The sequence below is a fragment of the Homo sapiens genome, chromosome 14 (genome assembly GCF_000001405.40).
Source record: "Homo sapiens chromosome 14, GRCh38.p14 Primary Assembly".
In the NCBI taxonomy this organism is placed as follows: domain Eukaryota; kingdom Metazoa; phylum Chordata; class Mammalia; order Primates; family Hominidae; genus Homo; species Homo sapiens.
The window spans coordinates 68,422,685-68,443,074 of record NC_000014.9 but is presented as its reverse complement, the minus strand read 5'-3'; the positions used below and the strand labels follow the sequence as shown (position 1 = coordinate 68,443,074).

Genomic DNA, 20,390 nt, shown 5'->3' with positions numbered 1-20,390 from the left:
TAAGCAAGAGGCCAAGTAAACATCGAAAGAAACCAAAACCAGGACTCCTTTGCTGGGAGAGTGGAACACAGGGTGAATGAGCAGTGCACTGCATGAGGCCCAGGCCTTGTGAAGTTTCAGGGGGAGCAACAACCTGGGTCATTCTTTAGGTGTTCACAGCCCCAGTTTCATTCCACTTTACTGCAGCTCCTCTTATTGATTAAGTCGGCTTGGACAAGTTACTTAACTTTTCACAGCCTCCACTTCCTTAAGTGTTAAGTGTGAATAATAATAATAATAATAATAATATCACAGGTTAGCATAAAGAATAAATGAAACATACATAAAAGCTGCACCGGCCGGGTGTAGTGGCTCATGCCTGTAATCCCAGCACTTTGGGAGGCCGAGGCGGGCGGATCACAAGCTCAAGAGATTGAGACCATGCTGGCCAACATGGTGAAACCCCATGTCTACTAAAAATACAAAAATTAGCTGGGCATGGTGGCATGCACCTGTAGTCCCAGCTACTCAGGAGGCTAAGGTAGGAGAATAGCTTGAACCCAGGAGGCGGAGGTTGCAGTGAGCTGAAATCGCGCCACTGCTCTCCAGCCTAGCAACAGAGCGAGACTCTAGCTAAAAAAAAAAAAAAAAAAAAAAAAAGCACAATGCCTACTACATAGTAGGCACTCAAGAAATAGGATTTGTTAAGGTAGTTTCAGTAACTCTCTCAGATGCTGCTAGAGAACTATTTTCATGAACTGTTAGAACACAAAGATTCCTTAGAGACTAATACTCCAGACCCCATATTTCATAAATAAGAAAACAGTCCTAGAGAGAGAAAGGTTGTGACCAAATCATCCAGTCAGTAGTAGGCCCTGGGCTAAGACCCTGCAGACTGGACGCAGAGTAAAGAGAGTTAAAGTAATTCACATCATAGAATATATTAACACTACGTGCTGTTGACTGGCCATGGATCTCAGACTTTGTATCTTTAAGAATTGCCCAGCAATGTAGAAATGCAGATTTCTAGACCCACCCCCAAAGCTGCTGATTTAGTCTGGGAAGTCCAGGAATCTGAATTTTTAACAAGCTCTGCCAGTGGATTCCAAGAGGTATTCCTCTGACCACCTGTCAAGAAGTATTACAAGAGGAAGTCGTCAGCCAAATAAATAACTGAGCAGAGTGTTAGGGTTATATCCTATGGTTTAGCACAAACAATGTGGCCAGCGCCCGTTGATAATGAGACTTTTCCCACTGTATAAAATAGTAACTGAGGTATAGCATGGCATTGCTTCTTCTTCATAGAACCAGAAAGTGAAATCATCTTCTAGATCATGAAATTCTCTTATAGAAGGGGAACCTGTGACTCAGAGTCATTTGTCCAAGATCACATATCTAATTAGAAACAGAGCTAGAATTTTACTTTAGAATAACATTATCTTTTTTGCAATGGAAAAATTTTTCCAGGTACCCACATATGAAGACAGTAGTTTATGTATGTATGTTATATACTAGAATCCATAAATTAATCTTTTTTTTTTTTTTTTTTTTTTTGAGATGGAGTCTTGCTCTGTCGCCCAGGCTGGAGTGCAGTGGCGCCATCTTGGCTCATTGCAAACTCCTCCTCCCGGGTTCACTCCATTCTCCTGCCTCAGCTTCCCGAGTAGCTGGGACTACAGGTGCCTGCCACCGCGCCCGGCTAATTTTTTGTTTTTTTACTAGAGACGGGGTTTCACCGTGTTAGCCAGGATGGTCTTGATCTCCTGACCTCGTGATCCACCCACCTCGGCCTCCCAAAGTGCTGGGATTACAGGCGTGAGCCACCGTGCCTGGCCTAAATTAATCTTAATCTCTGAAATAATTAAAAAATTATGGTCTTCTCATGTTATTTCTGGTGCTGTGAATTCACTTCATAGGCTCCCTTGTAGGCTAATGAAGGAAACTTGGTCAGAAGAAAGAACTAACAATGTCATACAAAACTGAACACTTCAGAGACACAGAAACTGTAGTTACATTGTTGCACATGACCTACTTCCTTTTCATTAAAATCTTGCTCTTTTCATATAAAACATATATCTGACCCCAAGGTCTATAAAGTTCTATGAGTCATCAAACAACTACATAAGTATCCTGGTTAGTGATTACTGTGTTAAAGCATTTGTGGACTTGCAAGACACATCCCAAATAAATCAATATTGGCTTGGATTCAAGTCCAGTTCTCAAAAGGATGAGGTTTCAGCTGTTCCCTGTAGTATTAGAACATGCAATAATTTAGCAATTTCTGGAGTTTGATCCCCACAGACTAGAAATGATGGTTACTTTCTTTCTTTCTTTCTTTCTTTTTTTTTTGAGATGGAGTTTCGCTCTTGTTGCCCAGGCTGGAATGCAATGGCACGATCTTGCCTCACTGCAACCTCCACCTCCCAGGTTCAAGTGATTCTCTTGCCTCAGCCTCCCAAGTACCTGGGATTACAGGTGTCCGCCACCATGCCCAACTAATTTTTGTATTTTTTAGTAGAGACGGGGTTTCACCATGTTGGCCAGGCTGGTCTCGAACTCGTGACCTCAGGTGATCCACCTGCCTTGGCCTCCCAGAGTGCTGGGATTACAAGCGTGAGCCACTGTGCCTGGCTGAAATGATGGTTACTTTCTACTCTTGGCCCAATGCTGAAGAATATGAGAAGGCAGAAGTATAGTTCTTCCACTTCTACTTTTCTTTGATGAATGCATTCAGATAGCAATAATCTTCATCCCTCAACAGAGTTTGTTCTGAAAGTTGTCATGAAATGTGGGCAACATTGCAAAGTAAAAGCCACAGCCTGTTTGAAAAAGAATCAATATGTATTCTGCAGTTGGATAATGCCTATCCTCACAAAAAACTCAGAATGCTCCAATTCATTAAGTCAGTAAGAGCAGCCTTAGACAACATTTATTATGATTTAGATCAATCTTACAACCATTATTACTAGCCAAATAAGGCCAAAAGAAGAGGGTTATAGGAGTCTCTTTACAGAATCTGAGGTGGAATCTGAATTAGAATCCAAATGCATCACTAACCGCTTAATAATCCTTTCCCTCCTGGAGAGAGTTCTGGCCTTTGGAGCTGTTCCTCTGCTCCATGTCATTAGGGCATTCAGAGAATGCCAACTCTTCTACGACATGAACCAATTAAAGGGTGGGAGCCTGCCATGCTTTCAACAGGGGAGGGGCAGGGTTTGGATGTGTGCATACAGACCCTGGAACATTTCAACACACCTCTTTTGGAGAAGGTTCTGTTGGTTTCAAACCCCCAACCCCCATGAGACATTATTTCCAGCCATTAAAATGTTTCCTGAGCTTAGATACATCTGGAAAGTTTTGGAAAATCCTACAGGAAGGAGGCTAGGCCAAAAGAGCTCCTTTTCTCATGCCATTCAGGAAGCACAGCACAAATGTTTGCCCTTCAAGACAGTCCAGGCCAGGAGCCCAACTCTGAGGGATGGAGAACCATGGTAGACAGAAGAGTCCTTTGGGGGAACAGGGACAATGGAGAAGAGATTGGGGGTCTTATATTAACCATGTACCAACCAGGGTGCTTATGTAGACCTGTATCTGTCAAGGTCCATCAGTAAAATGGGACATATCCTGGTAGTTCAAGAGAGAGCATTCAATTTGGGGAATTAGTTACAAATGTGTTAGAAGAGCTGAAATGAAAATAGGGGACAATGAGTCAACCCAGAGATTAGCAACAACAAGAAGCTACCACCATCCCCAGGGCTGGAGGAATCAAGGATGAGATGCTGTTACTAGAGCCCAGAGGCTGGAGCTGCCCAACTAGAGTGGGGACAGCAAAGGGATCGTGGAGAGGAACTAATGTCACTGCCTGGGACACCACTGGAAGCAAGGCAGAGGAATGTGTGTGTGAGAGAGTGTGTGTGTGTGTGTGTGTGTGTGTGTGTGTGTACAAAAATACATGGCTTCTCTCATACTTCTGCCCTTCATCCCTCCTCTCCAAACTAACCAGACTCAATGGAAAGGGAGACTGGGAAATGCAAATTGTAAAGGTCAGTTCCCTGTGGTATCAAGTAGAGCAGGGGAAGGGCAGGGAGCGGATCTGAGAGCAAACAATCCACTGACTGGCATGATCCACGAAAGCAAGGATTCCTGATTCCCAATTTGCAGATGTGGGTCTTTCAGAAAACTTTGAAGCCTGTACTGGTATTTCTGCAAATTAGCTACTGATGCCACTCCCCTGGACTTTACATTTGCTAGAATTCAGTGGAGAGGGAGACATAGCTCTCCATAGGGCCCTCTCCTCTCTCAGCTCAGGCGCTTTACTGAAAATAGTTTGCATCTTCCCTTTCTGCAGAAGGCGTCTCTTAACTTTTCATTTTTCCCACACTCTGATAACCATTGTCTCTATACAGAAGCCAGGGATCCGAAATAAGGAAATGGCATTGAGAGTGGAGATGACATGATGTGCTATAAACAGTGGTGGGAGGCAGGGGAAGACAAAATGTTGACTAAAGATTCTGTGCAATTATAAGAAATCATTTCTGATCTCCAACCTAATTCTTGATGGCAGTCATTGAGGCCTGGATGGAAGAATGGAAGCAGCCATACACTGTCCACGTAAGCAGGAAACAACGCATGTTCCAAGCAGGGCCAGCTCTTGCCTCCCTCCCAGGCCTCCTTTTTCTCCTTTACCAGCCTGTTTCAGTGAGTAAAACCTCATCCACTCACTCATTTGCCTCAGGAACAACCCCCTTCCCACACCCTTCCAGATCTCCTCTTTGTGCTTAAATGTTGTGGATCCTGCCTCCTAACCATCTCATAACTCTTCCCTCTTTTCCCTCTCAATATCCACTGTCTTGGTTCAGGCCCTCATTTCTTTGCATCTTATTTCAAATCCCTCCAAATCTGTATGGAAAACTCTTGCCAAAGGGAGACTTGGAAGGTACAAATCTGATGTCGCAGGCTTGCTGGAAGTTCCTTAGTGGGGCTTCTGAAAACCTGCAGGACTGAGTCTGGTTTGTCTTTCCTTTCCTTACTTTATCTTTAACTACATACAGGCCCCATCCTCCCCGATCCCTACTCATTGTACAGACACATTTAGTGCTCCCCTGTAGCACTAAAGAAGGACCATTTGTAGTTCCCACCTCAGAGCCTTTGTTCAAACATCTTCCTCAGTCTCCTACTTCATCTATCAAGCAAATACCAATGCACTTTTCAAGTTTTGTTTCCAGTATCACACCCTCTTCTGAATCCTTCTCTGGCCATCACTTCCTTGTGAGTGTTCTGACCATCCCAACAACGATAGCTACACTGTCCTCTTCCACAATTCCTTCAATTCCTTCTTATATTTATTTGCCTGTATGCTTCCCTCTATTAACACTGGGTATTCTCCTCTACTACTATGGCTCTTCATAGAAGGAAACTGAGCTTTATTTGACTTACTTTTCCCAGCATTTGGCACACATATGTACCCAGAAAGGATATGAAGGATGAAAAAATGAGGCAGGAATGGAGGGAAAGGGGAGGTGTTCAACATAAAGAACACTTAGTTGTCTTGTCTAGATAAAAATAGAAGAGTTACGTTCTACAAAGCTAGCATCAGCCTGAAGCCAAAATCTGGCAAAGACACAATGAAAAAGGAAAACTTCAGGCCCTGATGGACATATGTGTAAAAATCCTCAACAAAACAGTAGGAAACCAAATCCAGTAGTACATAAAAAAGTTAATTCACCACGATCAAGTAAGCTTCATTTCTGAGGTGCAAGGTTGGTTCAACATATGCAAATCGATATTTATGATTCATCACATAAACAGAATTCAAGAGAAAAACCATATGATCATCTCAATAGATGCGGAAGCTTCTGAGAAAATCCATATTCCTTCATGAAAAAATCCTCAACAAATTAGGCATATAAGTAACATATCTCAAAATAGAGTCATCTATAACAAACCCACAGCCAACATCATACTGAATGGGCAAAAGTTAGAAGCATTCTCTTTAAGAACAGGAATAGGACAAAGATGCCCACTCTCACCACTCCTATTCAACATAGTACTGGAAGTCCTAGCCAGAGCAGTCAGGCAAAAGAAAGAAATAATAGGGATCCAAGTAAGAAAACAATAAGTCAAATTATCCCTCTTTACTGACAATATGATCATATACTGAGAAAACCCTAAAGACTCCACTAAAGCCTCCTACAGCTGATAAATGACTTCAGTAAGTTTCAGGATACAAAATCAATGTACAGAAAATTAGTAGCATTCCTATACACCAATAATGTTCAAGCTCAGAGCCAAATCAAGAACACAATCCCATTTACAGTAGTCACAACAACAAAAAACACCTAGGAATACATCAAACTAGGGAAGTGAAATATCTCAACAAGGAGAACTACAAGTAACTGCTAAAAGAAATCAGAGAGGATCCCCCCGCCAAAACACATTCCATGTTCATGGATTAGAATAATCAATATCATTAAAATGGCCATACTGTGCAAAGAAACCTGCAGATTCAACACAATTCCTATCAAACTACCAACATAATTCTTCACAGAATTACAAAAAACTGTCCTAAAATTCACATGGAACCAAAAAGCAGCCTGAATAGACAAAGCAATCCTAAGCAGAAATAATAAAGCCAGAAGCATCACATTACCTGACTTTAAACTATACTATAATGCTACAGTAACCCAAACGCCATGCTACTGCTACAAAAATAGACATACAGACCAATGGAACAGAATAGAGAATTCAGAAATAAAGCTGCACACCTACAGTCATCTGATCTTCAGCAAAGTTGAGAAAAATAAGCAATGGGGAAAAGACTCCCTAGTCAATACATGGTGCTGGGATAGCTGGGTAGCCATAGGCAGAAGAATAAAACTAGACCCCTACATTTTACCATATATAAAAATTAACTCAAGGTGGATTAAATGCTTAAATGTAGGCCCTCAAACTATAAGAATCCTAGAAGAAAATCTAGGAAATACCATTCTGATGTTGGCCTTGAGAAAGAATTTTTGACTAAGCCCTCAAAAGCAAATGGAACAAAAACAAAAATTGACAAACAAAACCTAATTAAAGAGCTTCTGAACAGCAAAAGAAACTAACAACAGAGTAAACAGACAACCTACAGAATTGGAGAAAATATTTACAAACTATGCATCTGACAAAGGTCTAATATCCAGAATCTATAAGGAACTTAAACAATTCAACAAGCAAAAAATAAATAACCCCATTAAAAAATGGGCAAAATACATGAACAGACAGTTCCCAAAAGAAGATACACAGGTAGCCAACAAATACATGAAAAAATGCTCAAAATTACTAATCATCAGAGAAATGTAAATCAAAACCACAATGAGATACCATCTCACACCAGTCAGAATGGCTTTATTAAAAAGTTAAAAAGCAACAGATGCTGGTGAGGCTGTGGAGAGAAGAAAATGCTCATACACTGTTGGTGGGAATGTAGATAGTTCAGCCACTGTAGAAAGCAGTTTGGAGATTTTGCAAAGAACTTAAAAACTATCATTTGACTTAGCAATCCCATTGCTGGGTATATACCCAAAGGAAAATAAATTGTTCTCCCAAAAAAAAAAAAAAAAAACCAAAAACCACATGTACTTAGATGTTCATTGCAGCACTATTCACAATAGTAAAGACATGGAATCAACCTAGGTGCCCATCAATGGTGGACTGGATAAAGAAAATGCGGTACATATACAGCCATAAAAAAGAATGAAGTCATATCGTTTGCAGCAACATGGATGCAGCTGGAGGCCATTATCCTAAGTGAATTAACATAGGACCAGAAAACCAAATACCGCATGTTCTCACTTATAAGTGGGAGCTAAGTACAGGGTACCCATGGACATAAAGATGAGAATAATAGACACTGGGAACTAGATGGGGAAGAGGAGGATGGGGGAAAGGGTTTAAAACAACACCTATGGGGTACTATGCTTACTACCCGGGTGATGGGATTATTCGCACCTCAAACTTCAGCATCTCGTAACATACCCATGTAACAAACCTGCACATATGTTCCTGAATCTAAAATAAAAGTTGAAATTATATTTTAAAACTTGTAAACTTATCCCAAAGAGATATCAGCACACCCATGTTCATTGTAGCATTATTTACAATAGCCAAGGTATGGAAACAATCTAAAGGTGTATCAACAAATAAATGGATAAAGAAAATGTGGTGGGGCGGTTCCAAGATGGCTGAATAGGAACAGCTCCAGTCTACAGCTCCCAGCATGAGCAATGCAGAAGACGGGTGATTTCTGCATTTCCAACTCAGGTACCGGGTTCATCTCACCGGGGCTTGTCAGACAGTGGGTGCAGGACAGTGGGTGCAGCCCACCGAGCATAAGCTGAAGCAGGGCGAGGCATCGCCTCACCCGGGAAGTGCAAGGGGTCAGGGAATTCTCTTTCCTAGCCAAGGGAAGCTGTGACCGACAGCACCTGGAAAATCAGGTCACTCTCACCCTAATACTGCGCTTTTCCAATGGTCTTAGCAAATGACACACCAGGAGATTATAACGCACGCCTGGCTTGGAGGATCCCATGCCCATGGAGCCTCGCTCATTGCTAGCACAACAGTCTGAGATTGAACTGCAAGGCAGCAGCGAGGCTGGGGGAGAGGCACCTGCCATTGCTGAGGCTTGAATAGGTAAACAAAGTGGCGGGGAAGCTCAAACTGGGTGGAGCCCACAGCAGCTCAAGGAGGCCTGCCTGCTTCTGTAGACTCCACCTCTGGGGGGCAGGACATAGCTGAACAAAAGGCAGCAGAAACCTCTGCAGACTTAAATGTCCCTGTCTGACAGTTTTGAAGAGAGTAGTGGTTCTCCCAGCACAGAGTTTGAGATCTGAGAACAGACAGACTGCCTCCTCAAGTGGGTCCCTGACCCCCGAGTAGCTTAACTGGGAGGCACCCCCAAGTAGGGGCAGACTGACACTTCACATGGCCAGGTACCCCTGTGAGACGAAGCTTCCAGAGGAACGATGAGGCAGCAACATTTGCTGTTTAGCAATATTCAGTGTTCTGCAGCCTCCGCTGCAGATACCCAGGCAAACAGGGTCTGGAGTGGACATCCAGCAAACACCAACAGACCTACAGCTGAGGGTCCTGTTAGAAGGAAAACTAACAAACAGAAAGAACATCCACACCAAAACCCCATCTGTACATCACCATCATCAAAGACCAAAAGTAGATAAAACCACAAAGATGGGGAAAAAACAGAGCAGAAAAGCTGAAAATTCTAAAAATCAGAGTGCCTCTCCCCCTCCAAAGGAACGCAGCTCCTCGCCAGCAATGGAACAAAGCTGGACGGAGAATGACCTTGACGAGTTGAGAGAAGAAGGCTTCAGATGATCAAACTTCTCCGAGCTAAAGGAGGAAGTTCAAGCCCATCGCAAAGAAGCTAAAAACCTTGAAAAAAGATTAGACGAATGGCTAACTAGAATAACCAGTGTAGAGAAGTCCTTAAATGACCTGATGGAGCTGAGAACCATGGCATGAGAACTACGTGATGAATGCATAAGCTTCAGGAGCCGAGTCGATCAACTGGAAGAAAGGGTATCAGCGATTGAAGATCAAATGAATGAAATAAAGCAAGAAGAGAAGTTTAGAGAAAAAAGAATAAAAAGAAATGAACAAAGCCTCCAAGAAATATGGGACTATGTGAAAAGACCAAATCTACGTCTGATTGGTGTACCTGAAAGTGATGGGGAGAATGGAACCAAGTTGGAAAACACTCTGCAGGATATTACCCAGGAGAACTTCTCCAACCTAGCAAGGCAGGCCAACATTCAATTCAGGAAATACAGAGAACGCCACAAAGATACTCCTCAAGAAGAGCAACTCCAAGACACATAATTGTCAGATTCACCAAAGTTGAAATAAAGGAAAAAATGTTAAGGGCAGCCAGAGAGAAAGGTCAGGTTACCCACAAAGGGAAGCCCATCAAACTAACAGCTGATCTCTCAGCAGAAACTCTACAAGCTAGAAGAGAGTGGGGGCCAATATTCAACATTCTTAAAGAAAGAATTTTCAGCCCAGAATTTCATATCCAGCCAAACTAAGCTTCATAAGTGAAGGAAAAATAAAATACTTTACAGACAAGCAAATGCTGAGAGATTTTGTCACCACCAGGCCTGCCCTAAAAGAGCTCCTGAAGGAAACACTAAACATGGAAAGGAATAACTGGTACCAGCCACTGCAAAAGCACGCCAAATTGTAAAGACCATCGATGCCAGGAAGAAACTGCATCAACTAATGAGCAAAATAACCAGCTAACATAATGACAGGATCAAATTCACACATAACAATATTAACCTTAAATGTAAATGGGCTAAATGCTCCAATTAAAAGACACAGACTGGCAAGTTGGATAAAGAGTCAAGACCTATCAGTGTGCTGTATTCAGAAGACCCATCTCACATGCAGAGACACACATAGGCTCAAAATAAAGGGATGGAGGAAGATCTACCAAGCAAATGGAAAACAAAAAAAGGCAGGAGTTGCAATCCTAGTCTCTGATAAAACAGACTTTCAACCAACAAAGATCAAAAGAGACAAAGAAGGTCATTACATAATGGTAAAGGGATCAATTCAACAAGAAGAGCTAACTATCCTAAATATATATGCACCCAATACAGGAGCACCCAGATTCATAAAGCGAGTCCTTAGAGAACTACAAAGGGACTTAGACGCCCACACAATAATAATGGGAGACTTTAACACCCCACTGTCAACATTAGACAGATCAATGAGACAGAAAGTTAACTAGGATATCCAGGAATTGAACTCAGCTCTGCACCAAGTGGACCTAATAGACATCTATAGAACTCTCCACCCCAAATCAACAGAATATACATTCTTCTTAGCACCACATCATACTTATTCCAAAATTGACCACATAGTTGGAAGTAAAGCACTTCTCAGTAAATGTAAAAGAACAGAAATTATAACAAACTGTCTCTCAGACCACAGTGCAATCAAACTAGAACTCAGGATTAAGAAACTCACTCAAAACCGCTCAACTACATGGAAACTGAACAACCTGCTGCTGAATGACTACTGGGTACATAACGAAATGAAGGCAGAAATAAAGATGTTCTTTGAAACCAGTGAGAACAAAGACACAACATACCAGAATCTCTGGGACACATTTAAAGCAGGGTGTAGAGGGAAATTTATAGCACTAAATGCCCGCAAGAGAAAGCAGGAAAGATCTAAAATTGACACCCTAACATCACAATTAAAAGAACTAGAGAAGCAAGAACAACACATTCAAAAGCTAGCAGAAGGCAAGAAATAACTAAGATCGGAGCAGAACTGAAAGAGATAGAGACATAAAAAACCCTTCAAAAAATCAATGAATCCAGGAGCTGGTTTTTTGAAAAGATCAACAAAATTGATAGACCACTAGCAAGACTAATAAAGAAGAAAAGAGAGAAGAATCAAATAGATGCAATAAAAAATGATAAAGGGGATATCACCACTGATCCCACAGAAATACAAACTACCATCAGAGAATACTATAAACACCTCTGTGCAAATAAACTAGAAAATCTAGAAGAAATGGATGAATTTCTGGACACATACACCCTCCCAAGACTAAACCAGGAAGAAGTTGAATCCCTGAATAGACTAATAACAGGCTCTGAAATTGAGGCAACAATTAATAGCCTACCAACCAAAAAAAGTCCAGGACCAGATGGATTCACAGCCGAATTCTACCAGAGGTACAAGAAGGAGCTGGTACCATTCCTTCTGAAACTATTCCAATCAATAGAAAAAGAGGGAATCCTCCCTAACTCATTTTATGAGGCCAGCATCATCCACATACCAAAGCCTGGCAGAGACACAACAAAAAAAGAGAATTTTAGACCAATATCCCTGATGAACATCGATGCAAAAATCCTCAATAAAATACTGGCAAACTGAATCCAGCAGCACATCAAAAAGCTTATCCACCATGATCAAGTGGGCTTCATCCCTAGGATGCAAGGCTGGTTCAACATACAAAAATCAATAAACGTAATCCAGCATATAAACAGAACCAAAGACAAAAACCACATGATTATATCGGTAGATGCAGAAAAGGCCCTTGACAAAATTCAACAGCCCTTCATGCTAAAAACTCTCAATAAATTAGGTATTGATGGGACATATCTCAAAATAATAAGAGCTATTTATGACAAACCCACAGCCAATATCATACTGAATGGGCAAAAACTGGAAGCATTCCCTTTGAAAACTGGCACAAGACAGGGATGCCCTCTCTCACCACTCCTATTCAACATAGTGTTGGAAGTTCTGGCCAGGGCAATCAGGCAGGAGAAAGAAATAAAGGGTATTCAATTAGGAAAAGAGGAAGTAAAATTGTCCCTGTTTGCAGATGATATATGATTGTATATGTAGAAAACCCCATCGTCTCAGCCTAAAATCTCCTTAAGCTGATAAGCAACTTCAGCAAAGTCTCAGGATACAAAATCAATGTGCAAAAATCACAAGCATTCTTATACACCAATAACAGACAAACCGAGAGTCAAATCCTGAGTGAATTCCCATTCACAATTGCTTCAAAGAGAATAAAATACCTAGGAATCCAACTTCCAAGGGATGTGAAGGACCTCTTCAAGGAGAACTACAAACCACTGGTCAATGAAATAAAAGAGGACACAAACAAATGGAAGAACATTCCATGCTCATGGATAGGAAGAATCAGTATCGTGAAAATGGCCATACTGCCCAAGGTAATTTATAGATTCAATGCCATCCCCATAAAGCTACCGATGACTTTCTTCACAGAATTGGAAAAAACTACTTTACAGTTCATATGGAACCAAAAAAGAGCCCACATTGCCAAGACAATCCTAAGCCAAAAGAACACAGCTGGAGGCATCACCCTACCTGACTTCAAACTATACCACAAAGCTACAGTAACCAAAACAGCATGGTACTGGTACCAAAACAGAGATATAGACCAATGGAACGGAACAGAGCCCTCAGAAATAATACCACACATCTACAACCATCTGATCTTTGACAAACCTGACAAAATCAAGAAATGGGGAAAGGATTCCCTATTTAATAAACGGTGCTGGGAAAACTGGCTGGCCATATGTAGAAAGCTGAAACTGGATCCCTTCCATACACCTTGTACAAAAATTAATTCAAGATGGATTAAAGACTTACATGTTGGACCTAAAACCATAAAAACCCTAGAAGAAAACCTAGGCAATACCATTCAGGACATAGGCATGGGTAAGGACTTCATGTCTAAAAACCAAAAGCAAGGGCCACAAAAGCCAAAATTGACAAATGGGATCTAATTAAACTAAAGAGCTTCTGCACAGCAAAAGAAACTACCATCAGAGTGAACAGGCAACCTACAGAATGGGAGAAAATTTTTGCAATCTACTCATCTGACAAAGGGCTAATATCCACAATCTACAAAGAACTCAAACAAATTTACAGGAAAAAAACCCCATCAAAAAGTGGGCAAAGGATATGAACAGACACTTTTCAAAAGAAGACATTTATGCAGCCAACAGACACGTGAAAAAATGCTCATTACCACTGGCCATCAGAGAAATGCAAATCAAAATCACAATGAGATACCATCTCACACCAGTTAGAATGGCGATCATTAAAAAGTCAGGAAACAACAGGTGCTGGAGAGGATGTGGAGAAATAGGAACACTTTTACACTGTTGGTGGGACTGTAAACTAGTTCAACCATTGTGGAAGTCAGTGTGGCGATTCCTCAAGGATCTAGAACTAGATATACCATTTGACCCAGCCATCCCATTACTGGGTATATACCCAAAGGATTATAAATCATGGTGCTATAAAGACACATGTACACGTATGTTTATTGCAGCACTATACACAATAGCAAAGACTTGGAACCAACCCAAATGTCCATCAATGATAGACTGGATTAAGAAAATGTGGCACATATACACCGTGGAATACTACGCAGCCATAAAAAATGATGAGTTCATGTCCTTTGTAGGGACATGGATGAAGCTGGAAACCATCATGCTCAGCAAACTATCGCAAGGACAAAAAACCAAACACTGCATGTTCTCACTCATAGTGGGAATTGAACAAGGAGAACACTTGGACACAGGAAGGGGAAGATCACACACTGGGGCCTGTCGTGGGGTGGGGGGAGTGGGGAGGGACAGCATTAGGAGATATACCTAATGTAAATGACGAGTTAATGGGTGCAGCACACCAACATGGCACATGTATACATATGTAACAAACCTGCACCTTGTGCACATGTACCCTAGAACTTAAAGTATAATAATTATATATATATATATATATATATATATATATATATATATATATATATATATATATATAAAGAAAATCCTGCCATATGCAACATGGATGAACCTGGGGGACATTATGCTAGGTGACATAAGCCAGTCATAGAAAACGAATATTATATGAGTCCACTTACGAGGTATCTAAAATAGTCAAAAAGATAGAAACAGAGTAGAATGATGAATGATGATTTCCAGGGATTGGGAGAAGTGGAAAATGGGGAGTTCTCTTTCAATGGATACACCGTTTCAGTTATGCAATGCGAATAAGTTCCAGACATCTGCTGTATGACAATGTGCATACAGTTAATAAGGTACTGTGTTCTTAGACTGTTTGTCAAAAGGATAGATCTCATGTTAAGTGGTCTTACCACAATAAAAAGTAAAAATTAAAAAAAATTTAAAATGCAAAAAAATTGGAAGAGTTAGAAGAGGATTGTGTCTGTGGCTAGAGGACACACAAAGGATTATTATTACAATTACAGTCTCTAGAAGATTTATTACTAAATATTTTAAGTTGTAATACATATTGTCTTAGTCCATTTTGTGCTGCTATAACTGAATACCACAGACTGGGTAATTTATAATGAACAGAAATTTATTTCTCATAGTCCTGTATGCTGGAAAGTCCAAGATTGAGAGGACATCATCTTGCCATGGCCTTTTTGCTGCATCATCCCATGGTGGAAGGGCAAAGAGAAGGTGAAAAAGAAACAAAACTCAAATTTTTATAAGGAACTCACTCCTGTGATAACAAACTCACTTTCACAATAACAGCATTAATCCATTCATGACAGATGAGCTCTTATGGCCTAAATCAATTCTTAAAGATCCCACCTCTTAATACTATCACAATGGTCATTAAGTTTCCAACACATGTATTTTTTGGGACATGTTCAAACCATAGCATTCTGGCCCCAGCCCCCCAAATTCATGTCCTTCTCACATATAAATACATTATTCCATCCCAATAGCTGCAAAGTGTTAACTCATTCTAGCATCAACTTAAAAGTCCAAAGTCCAGAGTCTCATCTAAATCATATATGAGTGAGACTCAAGGCATGATTCATCCTAAAGCAAATTCCCTGTTAGTTGTGAGCCTATAAAATTAAACAAGTTATGTGCCTCCAAAATACAATGATAGGAAAGGCATAGGATAGACATTCCCATTCCAAAAGGGAGAAATAAAAAAGAAAGGAGTAACTGATCCCAAGTTAGTCCAAAACTCAACAGGGAAAACAACCTCAAATAAGGCTCCAGAATAACCTCCTTTTACTCCATTTCCACCTTCTGTTCACACTAAGGCAGGGGTTGTACCCAGAAGACCTTGGGAAGCTCCAACCCCATGGCTTTGCTAGTCTCACCCTCACAGCAGCTCTTACGGGTTAGTCTTGCTGCTTCAGCTGTCCGAGGCTGGGGCTGCACATTGGTTGCTCTGCAGTTCTGGAGTCTCAAGTGACCCTGCCATGACACCTATACTAGGTGTAGAGGGGACTCCCTGTGGCAGCTGCAACCCCACAGTTCCAGTAAGCATTGCCCTAGATGGGGCTCTCTGCCATGGCTCTGCCCCTGTGATAAATTTCTGCCTGGATGTCCAGGCTATCCAATATATCCTTTCAAATCTAGGTGGAGGCTACCATGGCCTAAGAGCTCATACATTCTGCATGCCTGCAGAATTAGCACTATGTGGGCACCACCAAGGCTTACTACTCGTGCCTCTAGAGTGGCAACATGAGTCACACCTGGGCCTGCTTGAGCTATGACTGGGTGGCAGAGAAATGCTCCTCTGGGATGCAGAAGGTAGCGTCCTGAGTGGCCCTGGAAAGTCAGCCTGTGGATGGTACCCTGGGTCTGTCCCTGGAAACCATCTGCCCTCCTAGAGCTCCGGGATTGTGATGGGAGGGGCAGCCTTAAAAATCTCCAAAATCCCCTCGGGGTCATTCTCCCATTGTCTTGATGAATAGTATCTGGCTTTCTTCTATTCATACTAATCTCCTTATCAAATGGTTGCTTAGCCACACATTTCCTCTCCAGAAAATGCTCTCTTTCTTTCTCTACCAGGCAACCAGGCTGAGAATCCTTCAGATCCCTTTTAATTATAGATCCCATCTTTAAATTATTTCTCTCTTCTCTCATTTTACTGTATGCAGTTAAAAGAAGCCGCACAGTTCTTCGATGTCATGGTTTAAAATTTCTTCTACCAGATATCCTAGTTCATTGCTCTTAAATTCTGCTTTTCACAAGACCTCAAGGCGTGGATGCAATTCAACCAAGTTGTTTGCCACTTCATAACAATCATGGCCTTTACTTCAGTTTCCAATAAGATATTCATCTCTTCTGTCTGATACCTCATCAGAATGGCCTTTACTGACCAGGCCCGGTGGCTCACGCCTGTAATCCCAGCACTTTGGGAGGCTGAGGTGGGTGGATCACCTGAGGTCGGGAGTTCGAAAGCAGCCTGACCAACATAGAGAAACCCCGTCTCTACCAAAAAAAAAAAAATACAAAATTAGCCAGGTGTGGTGGTGGGCGCCTGTAATCCCAGCTACTCGGGAGGCTGAGGTGGGAGAATTGCTTGAGCCTGGGAGGCGGAGGTTGTGGTGAGCCGAGATCGTGCCATTGCACTCCAGCCCAGGCAACAAGAGTGAAACTCCATCTCAAAAACAAAAAAAGAAAGAAAGAAAGAGAGAGAGAGAGAAAGAGAGAAAGAAAGAGAGAAAGAAAGAAAGAAAGAAAGGAAGGAAGGAAGGAAGGAAGGAAGGAAGGAAGAAAGAAAGAAAGAAAGAAAGAAAGAAAGAAAGAAAGAAAAAGAATGGCCTTTACTGTCTCTATTTCTACTAACATTCTGATCACAATCACTTATGTAATCTCTAAGAAGTTTCTCATTCTCTTCTTCTGAGTCCTCCAGAATTACTGTTAATACTCCATTTATAGCAATCTAAGCTTTTGTTAGCCTGCTACTCCAGATTCTTCCAGCCTTTACCCATCACCCAATACCAAAGCCACTTCCATATTTTCAGGTATTTATTATAACAATCACCACACTCCTAGTACCAATCTTCTGTCTTAGTCCATTTTGTCCTGGTATAACCAAATACCACAGACTAGATAATTTACAATGAACAGAAATTTATTTTTCACAGTTCTGGGGGCTAAGTCCAAAATCAAGGGGCCAGCATCTGGTGAGGGCCTTCTTGCTGCATCATTGCATGGTGGAAGGGCAAAGAGAGGGTGACAGAGAGACAAATGGGGGCTGAACTTGTCTTCTTATAAAGAACCTACTCCTGCAATAACAAACCCACTTCTCTTGATAATGGCATTAATCATTCATGAGGGCAGGGCCCTCATGGGCTGATCACCTCTTACAGGTCCTACCTTTTAATAGTTTATAATGGCCATTAAGTAAACTACTACTTAAGTATGCTGTTTTGGAGACACATTCAAACCGCAGCATATACCTTTTCTTGAGGAAAAATATTAGACTATTAGGATATGAAAAAAAGTGACAAAGGTGTCATATTGACTGCTATGGCAGTCACTCATCCAACTTATCTCAGTGGGTTTTCTTTGAAAATACTTGGCCTTTGAACAACCACAACATGTAACAAGATCCCCTACACAGAGGGGTCCTAGAGACTACTGTTTAATTCAAACTGAGATTATAGGTATAGGCCAGGTGCTGTGGCTCATGCCTGTAATCTCAGCCCTTTGGATGACTGAGGCAGGAGGATTACATGAAACCAGGAATTCAAGCCCAGCCTGGGCAACACAGCAAGACCCCATCTCTACATAAAATTTTAAAAATAGCCAGGTGTGGTGGTATGTGCCTGTAGTCCAAGCTACTTGGGAGGCTAAGGTGGAAGAATTGCTTGAGCTCAGGAGTTCAAGGCTGCAGTGAGTTATGATCATGCCACTGTATTCCAGCCTGGGCGACACAGCAAGACCCTGTCTCTAAGGAAAAAAAAGAGATTACAGGTGGTTCCTGAGAAGGACTGGCCTCCTCAAGTCAAAGGGATCAAATGCTGACAGACTCAGCAGAGCCAGTTACAGGGATCTTGGAGTCATGGGGATCTTTTAGCAAATCTACATGAGAAAAGTAGGGAGGATGGTATAAAAAGGCAAAGGTAGTGTCAGAACGGAGTCACAAGTAGGAAATAGAGATCAGTCACAAAGAAGAGCCTAACATTCCAATGCAGGTCAGTATGGAACAGTATATCTGGAGAGAACACTGCATAAATAGTTACAAATAAGAGAGAACAGCTTGGTATAGGCACAGCTGTTGAAGGGTTAGAAGCTGTGCTGGAGCCACCAAATCTTTTTATTATAAAGAGGCACCAGTAAAAACAAAACAAACAAACCAAAACCAAAAACAAAACATAGTACTGCTAGAGAGTTTTGTCATTTTACTAGACATTGATGGAATCTTCATTAGGATGCTGGGATAATACTTTCAGAGAAGAATAGACAACTGAGAAAGGATTTAAAGATAAACCGTGAAATGGATTAGTATGTGGAAAAGTGACTTTGCAAGGAAAAAAATGAAGAAATAGATATCATTTATATGTCATTCTGTATCATCCATGAGGGAAGGGAAGTATCTATGGGAGGCACCACTATACCTCCTGGGCCCTTAGGTTCTTACTGGAGGAGAGAGGTGAGCACAGGTCCATCCCCACTGTGGGCAAGATGCCACAGAGACTTCTCTTTCTTCTTTGACGATAAATGACAGAACACTGAAGCCAAACCCAGAGCACAGAAAAGGTGCTGGCTGGAAAGGCTAGTACTTGGAACAGAGAAGAAGAACCAGAACTTCCCCTGATTGAATGGTGAGATTCAGAAGACCATGTCCTGTAGAGTTTATTCTTCCTCAAAAGTGTTCTGTTGCCACACAGAGCCACACAGTTATAAGGAAATAACTAATCATTACTTAACAGAGATCGAAAAAGCTCTCTCAAAGCAATGGATCATTCCACTCTTTGAAGGGAGTATTCCACCAAGTATAAGTATTGAAGGTGACCACACCACAGGGGTTGAAAAAAAATTGTTCTGCAATTAATTCCAAGTAACATGCATGAATAATCTTACATGAACATGGTACTCATTGTAGAATAAAGGTTAAGAACCTAGGGATATAAAAGAGGGAGTGTATGTATGTGATGGGGGAGGGAGAGGCAAAGGAAAAGGAAAGTTCTGGCTTTGCCCCTTAGAACCATGTGATTTAGAGCAAAATTTTCAAACTCCATAACGTTCAATGTGCTCCAATTGTAAAGTATATCTAGTAATACCCACCTCAGAGTTTTCGTGAGGCTTGAAAAAGAAAATGCCCACAAAGCACTTAGCAGAATAACTGGTACAAAGTAGACTCTCAATAAATGGATGAATCAACTCAGCATAGCAACCAGAGAGCCAGGGCCGCTGGGGCTTTGGGGGGATTGTTTTCAATCCCTCCCAGACATACCAGGTGCCTTAGCTCTAATTCTTTAAGGTTTGTAAAGATGAGCCTCTTTCTGGAGTTTGACTCTCAGAGAATTCTGTTAGAGAATCACAGATCATAATCCCAGTTCACTCTTTCATTGCCAATTCTGAGTTGAGGATTCAGAAAATGGGCAGTGGGATACAACCATGGGAGCTGGGCTCTCCAAAGGTGTTCTCAAAATCATGGTCCCTTTGTAACAATAAAATGAATGTCCAACAGTCAAGCACACACAGTCTTTGTCTGAGATGCAAGAACTCTTAAGCTCTGCCAAGGTAAGAAGAGAAACTTCTAGAAAGAGACCCTCAGTGAAAAAAAACCTCGGCTTCAAGCATTCTAAGACAGTTGCCAGGAGCCACTGGCTGATTTAAAAATCCAGGGAAGCTTGGGGGCAGGGAGGGGACAACAAGGTAAGGTGAAGGTTACAGGAAGGAAGGAGTGACTATGTCAACTTTGCAGTAACTGAAAATTCCAAATTATTTACAGCGGCAGAAATCAGGAAAGCTCAATGATTTGTATTACATTTGAAAATTAATCACCCATCAGATAATGTGTAGCATATCATAAAATGTTATGGTAACATAATC

At 41.4% G+C, this 20,390-nt stretch overlaps 1 protein-coding gene across 12 annotated transcripts in view; it reads right to left on the bottom strand.

Annotated features, from left to right (window-relative positions):
* Positions 1–20,390, bottom strand: part of RAD51B (RAD51 paralog B) — an 863,318-nt gene that overhangs the window by 240,022 nt on the left and 602,906 nt on the right. The window lies entirely within an intron of this gene.